Below are 11,377 nucleotides of genomic sequence, written 5' to 3' on the forward strand. Positions count from 1 at the left end.
TGAATTCCCCCCCTCAAGCATTTCCCCTCCACCCACTCACTCCAGCTGTGTTTGTTTTAATTTTTTGCTCTCAGCCTGACACCTCAGACAACAGCAGTTCCTTCTTGCCTTCTCTGTTGGCAACTGCTCATGCACCCTGTTACCTTCTGAAATTACATAGTTTATTAACTTGCTACCCTAACCTACACTACCCTTCATAAGAACTCCCTTCTCTGCTCATGAACATCCTGCCACGGGCTCCCTGGGATTAAACTGCTTCTCTAAGAAATGAAACCATTGCCCAGCCCAACATCCCCTTTCCTGCTATTTTATTTGAGGAGTAGGGCTCTGTGGTTATTGATCACTTGAGAGGTAGAAGGAGGATGTTTGAAGGGAAAGGAAACACCAAGAAAACTTACAGAGTGGCAGGGAAGCCTGAGAGATCTCATAAACTACTGGCTTTGAAGCCTTCATGGGAACTTAGATGCTTTGAGAAGCTGGAAAGCTCTGGACAGTTCCCCCCGCTCCCCCCCCCCCCAAAAAAAAATCACACACATGCAACAGCACCCAGGCTGCTGCTTAACCGTACAGCACCTTTGTATGAATTAGGGAAGAGATTTGCTTTCTCTGGGTGGCACAGTGTGGTCAATGGAGTAGGGTAAACTCCAGCCCTCACTTTCCTTCTCAACAGGGCATCCTCGTGCGCATCAAAAATTGCACCACCAGGGTGGTGGTGCTGCATGGGGCCCCCACAAGTTCTCCCCTCTCTGACTTAGTTCACATCCCCTTTATCATACTGATGGGACCCTGAAGCCCAGAAGGGGGAAGTCACACTCTCAAGGTTGCAAAGTGTGTTATTTGTCCTTGCTATTTTATTTCCCTGTACCCAACATACACAGACCCTCTCACCTGCCTCCTCATTAAATAGCCCATTGATTATGCTCACCGTACTAAAAGGCAATACGACCAGTATGGTAGATAAAAATCTGTTGTCTAAATATCTGAATTAAATCCTTGTAGAAGATGCTTACATCCAAGTGTTGGTAAACCCAGTGGCCCCGGGCAGGGAGGAGCTATTCGTCTTATCAGTAACTGTCTGGGTAGAATGATCCATTTCAAACAGCGCAAGGAATGAAATCGTGAAAAGGATAAGAGTCCTGACGGAGGGGGAGTGAGTCGGAGCTGGTGGCGTTGAAAAGGTGTAGCTCAGAGCCAGCAGGCTGTCCTGAAGAGGATCATTCACGTGTGTGTTAAAGACAGGCCCGGTGTGAAAGCGCAAATGAATCGCTCAAAATAGATGAGATTTCTTTCCGTGGTAATTACAAGAGGGGCTGGCGAGAGGTTTTATATCAAAATCACAGAAAGGAAAGAGCTGGGGAAATAAAGAGGATTTTATTTGGAACCCAGAATGAGGAAGGACTTTTACAAAGAAAGCTGGGAGAGGGTGTGTTCTCTTCCAACGAGAGAATAGCCCTAATGGGTAGACAGGAAAAGGAGATGCCTTCTCGCCCGTAGAGGGCGCTGTAGAGGCAGCGGGAAAGTGATTCCTAGAGACGGTGGGGGGAGGCGCTGTGTTCTGCTGGTTCTCTGGGTGACTTGACCTGTGATTCCTCTTTCTGAGCCTTAGTTTCCTCAAAACCCAGACAAAACACATCTAGACGTCAGGTAAGTCAGGGAAAGGAGGTGAGAGAATCACTGGAAGTGAGTGTGAGAAGGGTGAGGGGGTGCTTCTGGAGACTGGGAATATTCTGTTTTGCAATCTGGTAGAAATTGATGCAGTTCTACCTTGATCATTTGGACACTCTTCTGTAAGTATATTCTAGTTTATTTAAAAGTTTACTTAAGGAAAAAAAAGAAGTGATCCTATGGTCATAGTGTCTCAGAAGAGATGAAACCTGTAGTTCAAGGCAGAAGATAAAACCACATGGAAAAGAGGCAGAATGACTAACAGAAGAGATTGGCTGACTTGAAGCTATGGAAGGCTGAGCTTTCATCAGGGTAGGGGTTCAGAGAATAAGAACACATAGGACTCCTTGAGTCAGATAGGCAGGCAGGAACTTGAGCAAACTAGAACTTTCCAAGGACCCAAGATGTCTGTGTGCACACCAGTGTGCACCAACTACCCCCAGTGGTCATTATTGCCAGATGTGCATTTTGAGGAGGTGCCTTCTCATAAATGGCTGAAAAGTCCAGCTTTTGTCCCCTCCCACTAGGGACCCCACCCCTGAACTAAAGTTAGCAGAAATAGATGTGCTTGCGACTTCATTGAAAGAGAAGAATGCTTGCTGAGGATGAGGCTTCCAACTTCATCCATGTCTCTGCCAAAGACATGGTCTCGTTCCTTTTTGTGGCTGCATAGTATTCCATGGTATATATGTATTACATTTTCTTTATCTAGTCTATCATTGATGGGCGTTTGGGTTGATTCTATGTCTTTGCTATTGTAAATAGTGCTGCAATAAACATACATGTGCATGTAACTTTATAATAGAATGATTTATATTCCTTTGGGTATATACCCAGTAATGGGATTGCTGGGTCAAATGGTATTTCTTGTTCTAGATCCTTGACACAGGGAGGGGAACAACACACATTGGGGCCTGTTGGTGGGGGAGGGCAAAGCATCAGGATAAATAGTTAATGCATGTGGGGCTTAATACCTAGGTGATGGGTTGATAGGTGCAGCAAACCACCTGTTACCTATGTAACAAACCTGCACATTCTGCCCGTATCCTGGAACTTAAAATAAAATTTAATAAAATTTAAAATAAAATAAAATTTAAAAAAAAGAAAGAGGAGAATGCTTATTTTCTTTCTCTGATAGACAAGCCTACACTTGACTCCGATGATTTCACATTTTTTGGTTACTTCAAACAAACAAAAACCTTTTGTCAAGACCCACTCTGTGCTCAGCACTGGTCTAGATGCTAAGGATTCAGTCACAACCATGGTTATTACCCGGTGGGGCCAAAATTCTAGGTAGTGATTTAAGGCAAAGAGATGATCTCCACCAGCCTTCCTTCACATCCACAAATCAGCACAAATAATCCACAAAGCAGCAATAGAAATGTAAGCCAGATGCCAAGAAGAACTTCCTGACTGCAATGTTAGTTGACTGTCTACCTGATGTGAAGGAAGGAAGCTTTACTAGACATAGATTTCATGTACCCTGGAGCTGAGTTTCTAGTCATATATTATCTAACATTTGCAGAGGGATTGTGAAGTTTTGTCACATGGTCACATATATCTCAGCATTATCACATATATCTCAAACTGAGCATGGTCACATATGTCTCAAACTGAGGCCCAGAGAACCTTTATCAATTGAAGTTTTTTCAGCTGCAGTTTTCAGAAAACATAATAATCAGGGAAATGCATTCTCCTACTTCATAGAAGTCCAGAGGCAGAGTTGGTTAATTGAGCAACTCAACTAGACTTCAGATTTGGCTCTGCCATTCTCAGGGTGTTAATGATGTTTCCCCTCACCACTGCAAGAGGGCTGCAGTGTCTCCAGCCATTGCATGAAGACACAATGAGCAGAGCATCTCTTTTTGTGTCTTTTTGAGAACAAACAAAGCCCTCTCTTGAAGCCCCCCAGAATTATACTCCGTACTTTTACCTACACCTGTCACGGTAAGAAGAATGTACTTTCCATGGTTGGCTTCCATCAATTCATTCTCTGGGGCTGAGAGCTCAGACTCCTCTGATGAGGTACACTGTCTTTCCCCCAATCCAAATGCTTGAACAGGAGCAGGATAGTGGTTAGCAATTCCTTGCTCCCTTTGCAGAAGAAAGTATCTGCTGGGTGGATAATGGTGTGTCTCAGTGACAAATTAGAAACCATGAACTAATCCCTGGGTCACAAAATGGAGATGAAACTGGGTGATTTTGCATAGAGGTGAGCACTGGGAACAGCTTAGTACCTGAGAGGGACAGTTAGTTCTGTTTATCCTTTCTTCCTCCTCGACCTAGTTTCCCTTAGGTGAGGGTGACTATGGAAGCCAAGCTCCCAAAAGACACAGCAATTCCTTTGATCCCTATCAAGAGCCAAATGATAAAGAAAGAGGTTGCAGGTCTCCAGTCACATGGCTAAGGGCTGTTAGTTGTGTCCTAGGCAAGCAGAGCTTGAGCAGTCCTTACCATCAGGCTCTGGTCTCCTGAAAGCAGCCAGTGTGACCTTCCCAACATGCAAACCAGATTATGTCACACAGCTGCTTAAAACCTTCCAACATCTTTTCATTACTCTCAGGAGAAAACTCCAAATTCTTATCTTGCTATCCAAGGTCTTGAATGATCTGGTCACTGCCTCCACCTTCTACATAAACTCATCCCATTTTCCCTCCCATTTCTTTGTTCCTGCCTCAATGAGCCCTTTCTTTGTCTTCATTGTTTCAGACCCAACATATAATAGGTGCTCAATACGTATTCCAATAGATAAATACTGTTCCTCAGCCAAATATTTTACTTACCCCTTCCCCTACACCCCGCATTTTAATTAACTCCTTCTCATGCTTTGACCTTAACAAGACTTTCTCTTCTTGCAGATGAGACCCTTCCTGTAATTCTCTCTCATTGTACTCTTGGCTTTTCTGCATGTTACCTATCACATTTATTTTTATTTATTTATGTGATTATTTGTTGAATGCCTACTTTCCCCATCTATTCATGTATTTCAAGAGGACTGTTTGACTTTCTCTCTTGTCCTCAGCTATATATGCAGTGTCTAAACCCAGCTCCTGGCCCATCATGGGGGCTCAAAAATTGTACCTGAAGCCCCAAGAAGGAGGTGCTCTGCCCGAAGTCATCCAACATGTTGAGGCTGACAAGGGCCAGAACTCAAACTCTGCTGACCCCCAGCTCCAAGTTTTTCCCGAGTCCAGCCTGTCCTCACCCAAGCTCACTGCTACCTTGCAGCGTATCTCTGTGTAGTTACCAAAGGTGCTCTCTCTGTGTTGTTGAATTCTAGCTGATGCAGTCTCACTGCCACTGCACGCAGGATGGCAGAGGGAATGTGGGCTGGGTTTCAGCCCCTGCAAGCCCCCTCGGCTGGGCCCCTTTGTGTAACTCAGCAACACACACACATAGAAGCCCTGCTCCTCATAAGCCCATTCTCTGTGTCTATTCTACTCAGCGTATCTCCTGTATGTCCTGGGTGCCCCCTCCCCTAACAGGCAGCTTGTCAGCTTTGATCTTTTAATCCAGGTTTCTCCAGAGCATGATTGATGTGCATTTAAACTGAGCTTCCCTGGGGCTAAGAACTGCTCCTGTCTAAACCCAAGGATGGCCAGGCTAGCCAGGCCTCTTAAGCTTGATCTTAGTGCCTTAGGATCTTTTCCAATCCCTTTACGTCCAACCCAGGCTGATGCTGGGAGTGAGTGTAACATGAGTGTTTTTCAGGACACTCTATCCTGAAAAACAAGGACTCTCTGTGTCTCCCTAGCCATGTATGGCGACAGTAGGAGGAGAAGGAGACCACTGGGCCATAAGCGCTCACTGTGTGCCAGGGCCTGTTCTGGGGACTGGACAAATGGGGAGTGAGAGGATACGGTGCTGCCCTACATAGAGCCTCATGCTATGTGGGGAAGCACTCAAGTCAGAAATTGCAGCATAGATGGATGGGTGCTTTGATGGAGGTTGGAAGAGTGTTCTGGGCATTCAGTGCAGAGACACGTAACCCTGGTGGGTGTGCATTAGGGTGTGTGTGTGTGTGTATTTGTGTGTAGGGAAAGGGAGAATAAACAATTCCAGGAGAAAGAACATTTACATTGAGATGTTAGCCAAACATGGAGTGTAGGGGGCAATGGTATTGGGGCAGAGGATCGGGCAGTGCAAACACCAGTATGTAAGGGGAGGCTGTCTGCATTTCAGGGGGGCTGGAATATATGGTGCAAGGAGTATGCATGGGACATGAGGCTGGACAGTCAGGCAGAGTCCAGATCATGGAGGTTTGTTAATCCAGGCCTGCTTAGATGTGGGTGTCAAGATAAGACTGCTCATATATGGAGTTTTTTTTTTTGTTTGTTTGTTTGTTTGTTCTTGAGACTGAGTTTCACTCTTGTTGCCCAGGCTGGAGGGCAATGGCATGATCTTGGCTCACCGCAACCTCTGCCTCCCGGGTTCAAGTGATTCTCCTGCCTCAGCCTCCCGAGTAGCTGGGATTACAGGCATGTGCCACCATGACCAGCTAATTTTGTATTTTTAGTACAGACAGGGTTTCCCCATGTTGGTCAGGCTGGTCTCAAACTCCCGACCTCAGGTGATCCACCTGCCTTGGCCTCCCAAAGTGCTGGGATCACAGGCATGAGCCACTGTGCCGGTCTCATATACGGATTTTACTAGGGGAACTGCCCAAAGGAGAAATGGGGAGGGAGGCTTAGAAAGCATCAGACCTCCATGAAAATGATCAGACCTTGAGCCAAGGAAAAAGGGGAGAAAGAAAGATTGGGCAAAAGCATCTTAGCCTGCTGTGCAGTTTGAGAAAGGTTTGGCAAGGCACTTTGGAAGCCCTTAAACCAAAGTTGGCCATCAGTGGAGTCCTATGTGTCCCTGCCTTAGAGTCACGGCCACCGAGCCATTGGCTGGAAGCAACCTGTGGGAGGTTTGATCTTCCACAAGGTCAGGGCTCCACATTGGAGGTCCTGGTGCCCTCTGTGGTTGAAGATCTGGGCGGTAGATTCTCATGGCCACCACATCTGGGTTTGGTTTTATTCTAGAGAGAATGGAAAGCCACAGAAGATTTTAAGCAATTTATGTCATGAAAAAAATCACTCTGTGGCTGTGGAGGAGATAAGTAGGAAGGGTTCAATAATGAAATTAAAAAAGAAATGTGAGGTGGAGCTGCTGGAGAGGTTCAGGAAAGAGATAATATTGACCTAGACTTGGAAGGTGACAGGATCACATAGAGAAATGGACAATTTGAAGTTATATTAAGGAGGCAAAATGCACAGAACTTGGTTCCTGTATGTGAGCGGTAAGAAAAAGGACTCAAAGAGGAAGTAACAGAGGACAAGGGCCACATCTATAAGTGTCACTTGTGTGCTAGACACAGTGTATGTACAGTGATCTCATTTTATCACCACAAATATCCTTTTTCTAAATTAATTAATGTTTTTAATTTTAATTTTTATTTATTTATTTATTTTTGAGATGGACTCTCACTCTGTTGCCCCAGCTAGAGTGCAATGGCGCGACGTTGGCTCACCACAACCTCCGCCTCCCAGGTTCAAGTGATTCTCGTGCCTCAGCCTCTCGAGTAGCTGGGATTACCAGCGTGCACCACCTCACCCGGCTAATTTTTGTTTTTTTTGTAGAGACAGGGTTTCAACAGAGGTTAGCCAGGCTGACCTCAAGTGATCCACCCACCTCAGCCTCCCAAAGTGCTGGGATTACAGGCATGAGCCACTTTGCCAGGCCCACAATGATCCTTTAAATTTTGTTCTAGGCATAGCATTGGAGAACCCCCAGTTTATCCACAACACCTCGGGTGATCAGTGTAAACTAATCATGGTAATCCCATTCTCACACCTGCAAATGTTTTAGGAATGGGAGAAGTCTGCTCAAGAGGCTTTGGGGAAAAATTTCTCCTTCTCAAGAAGGAGTCACATTTAGATGCTTCCTTTATTCCTCTGGACGCTGATGTCTGGGAGTGATGTCTGGGACTGCCTGGCATCTTGGAATCCCAAGGGGAGCAGCTGAGAGCACAGCTCTCCATCAAGAACAGGAGAGAAAAAAAGATGGGCCCCAAATGACATCATGGAGCACCAACTAAACCAACACTGGATCACCCACCCACCCAACCAGACTCCTGGGAATTGTGATCCTGTATTTCTCTATGGTTTGCACCAATGTGAGTTAGGGCTTTCTGTTTCTAAACTCATATAAAGTATCACCCCTGTTTTATAGACAAAGAAATGGAATCTTAAAGTCACAGAATGGGTAGGTGGCAGCGGAGGGACAAAATCCTAGTCTTCCTGAAAGGTCACGTCCCTTTTTCAATGGCAATTTTCCTTCGTGATGTCAACTCAAGTCACCTGACCATGAGAATGCTAGTAATCTTATCTTTTAAGATATTAATATATGGCACAATGAGTCAGATCTACAAGCACTCATTGTGCCTTTGCTGTATACCCTGCATGATGCAAATGAGCTACATATCAGCCCTGCTCATGAAGAGTTTATGTTATAACTGAGGTGAGATGAACACAATTGGAGACTATAATAATAGATAACCTGGGGGGGCACTTATTATACACTAGACAGTGGGCAAGTATTCTACATGTCTTATTAGGCTTTACTCCCCACAACAAACAACAGAGTATTTATTATTATGATCCCTGTCTCCATATTACAGGTATGTAGACACATAAAGGATATGAACCCTCCCGAGACCACAAAGCTGGTATAAATGGAATTTAGAGCAGTCTGAGTCTGACTTCGGGGCCTGTACTTTTATAACCACTGTGGTCTTTTGCATCCCCATATAGAGATTAATTAATGCAAGACAGCATCAACCCGAGTGGAGTATGCACAGGATAATAATAGCAAAGATTCTTAAACATATGCATGCAGGTGCTTTGCACGTGTTGTTGCTAATACTTAGTGGGTCTCAAACTTCAGCATGAATCGGAATCACCTGGAAGGCTTGTTAAAGCACAGATTGCTGGGCACCACCCCTAGACTTTCCAGCAGATTTGGGGTGGTGGTCTTAGGATTTGCATTTCTAACAAGTTCTCAGATGATATTTGTTCTAGGGAATCACATTTTGAGAGCCAATGCCTTAAAATAACTCTGTGAAGGAAGGGTGACTACCCCCATTGAACAGATGTGAAAAGTGGCTTAGTATAGGCAGCTGATATGGTTTGACTGTGTCCCCACCCAAATCTCATCTTGAATTGCAGCTCCCACAATTCCCATGTATTGTGGGAGGGACCCTGTGAGAGGTAATTGAATCATGGGGGCAGGTCTTTTCGTGCTAGTCTCATGATAGTGAATAAGCCTCACAAGATCTGATGGTTTTATAAAGGGCAGTTCCCCTGCACAAGTTCTCTTCTCTTGTCTGCCGCCATGTGAGACATGCCTTTCACCTCTGCCATGATTGTGAGGCCTCCCCAGCCACACAGAACTTGAGTGCATTAAGCCTCTTTCTTTTGTAAATTCCTCAGGCTCAGGTATATCTTTATCAGCAGCATGAAAATGGACTAGTACAGCAACTCATCTGTACATACCTACAATGGACAAATTCCAGAGCCAGGATTTGAACCTGGGTCACCCTGGCTCCAAAGTCCATGCTGTGTTTATTGTACCATGCTGTCCCCAGATATAAATGCACCACAAATTCGGGAGGAGAGACAACAGTGGGCTGCACATGCAGGAGAGACTTTTTGGAAGAAAAGGCCTTGAAGGAAAATAAATTTGAATCGGTGATCCCAGGCTATAGGCAAGATGAGAGAAACACTGGACTTGCCAAGTTATAGCTGATAGACACTTTGCCTGGGGTTTCAACATAGCAGGAGGGATTATGGTGAGGACACACAGTGAGAATTGCTCCATAAAAAGGAGCAGGAAAATAGCAGGGATCTTAGAGACAGAAAGGGACAACGAAGAAGGCCACCACTGCAAAAAGCACACAGGTGGGAAAATACTGTGCCCCATATGCAAAGGTGAGAAATAACTCACAATATCTTTTTTCATGAGAGGGATGGGTAGGCATTACACCATCCCCATTCCCTCAAGGAAGAAGGAGAAGCATGGCTTACATATACTCCCACCAGAACCTGCTCCCTTATTCCCACTCTAATTTCCTTAATCAAAGCAAAGGACAAGGACAGTGATTTCTCCTTTGTCACTGAGTGGAAAATGATACTATTCTAAGAGTGATTGAAGGCGCTGGGTATGCTAAGCCCTGATGAAGACATGAAGATGCAAGCATGTGAGCAAACAGAGGAGAGAAGTTTTGTGCCGTGTGATTGCCAAGATAAGAATTTGGACCAATAGGTGAAAATTCCAAGCTAATAATGTGCTAGAAATTTTTCATGTCATCCATTCAACAACCAATGAGTCATTCAACAACCACTGAGGCATTCAACAACCATTCATTAGGAGCCCTCTCTGTGCCAGGGACTGTCATAGATGCCTGGTGAGTCAAACAGAAGTGATCCTTGTCTTTCTGGTTGGCCTAAATCCATCTTGTTACAAACTAGACTTAGCTTTGAAGTTGAAGTATTTTAAGACCTTTCTCAGGGAAAGAAAATGTAGAGAGTCACCAACTCACTCTTCTCCTACACGTTTGTTTCTTCCTGCAGTGATAAAACATGTTTTGATGGTGATGGAACTTGCCGAATATGCCAAAATCACATCACACAGATCCCCTTCTCCTCCAGGTAATGGGAGCCTTGGATTAAATGCAGACATGGCAGGGTCAGAGACACAGTAGGCAGACAGCACCAGGTAAATCTGGTAGGAGCGAATTCTAATGTAGGGGAATAGGTTTCTCAGTGAGGATGACCTTCCAGCTAATGGCCCATACCTGGGGACCCATGCAGCTGTCCCAAGGCATTTCTGGAGTCTGAGAGAGAAAATCCATCAGCCATTCTTGACTAAGCTGGGGAACGTTTCAGCTTTCTAATAGGGTTATTAGCTGGGTAACAAATGAAACGGAACAGCAACAGAAGGGCAGAGGTAACTGAAATGCGAGAGAAAAATGCATAGTGATTTTCCACATTCTTTCAGCACACATGTTTTCCTCAAAATCCCCTCTACTGCCCAGCATTATGAAATGTCAGGAACCAAGGGATTTGGAGAGAGCAACTCAAAGAACCAAGGGTATGACACAGGATGGGAAGAACCTCCCCACAAGGGAGGATAACAGATTTCCGTAAGGCAAAGAAGTAATCCGGTAGAGCTGTTGATGATATCACAGGGCACCTCTAAACACACTCTCAGGGATTCTGTAAGCCCAGGAAATCAGGCAGAGTGATTTGTGAGCAACAAGGGACAGTGTTCTAAACAGAGAGTTTAGTTCTGGCTTAGGAATTTATTCCATTGTTGACTTGTATTAATTAATCTTGCTTTTTGATTACAAAAAAAAGTCTGTTGTCAGAAGTACAGAAAAAAAGAATATAAAAATCACCCCAAATTCTAAAATTTGAAGGTAAACATTATTCACTTTTTATTGGTATATCTGCAGTCTTTTTCTCTATGCATATCTGTATATCTCTCTCACAAAATTACAATCATATTTTCATTGCTTTATAAGCCATTTTTCTCACTTAACAATATATCATGAAATTTTATGATGTTCCCCCATATTGTATTTTTCATAAATACTATTTTCATGTCCATATCATACGAATGCATTAGGTTGAAACACATAAAATTAGTGCTATTCGACCTTTTTTAA

The 11,377-nt window shown here is 44.4% G+C and overlaps 1 protein-coding gene across 1 annotated transcript in view; it reads left to right on the forward strand.

Moving 5' to 3' along the window:
• Nucleotides 1-11,377, forward strand: part of SRRM4 (serine/arginine repetitive matrix 4) — a 181,511-nt gene that overhangs the window by 37,904 nt on the left and 132,230 nt on the right. The window lies entirely within an intron of this gene.

Source organism: Homo sapiens, chromosome 12, assembly GCF_000001405.40.
Source record: "Homo sapiens chromosome 12, GRCh38.p14 Primary Assembly".
Lineage (NCBI taxonomy): Eukaryota > Metazoa > Chordata > Mammalia > Primates > Hominidae > Homo > Homo sapiens.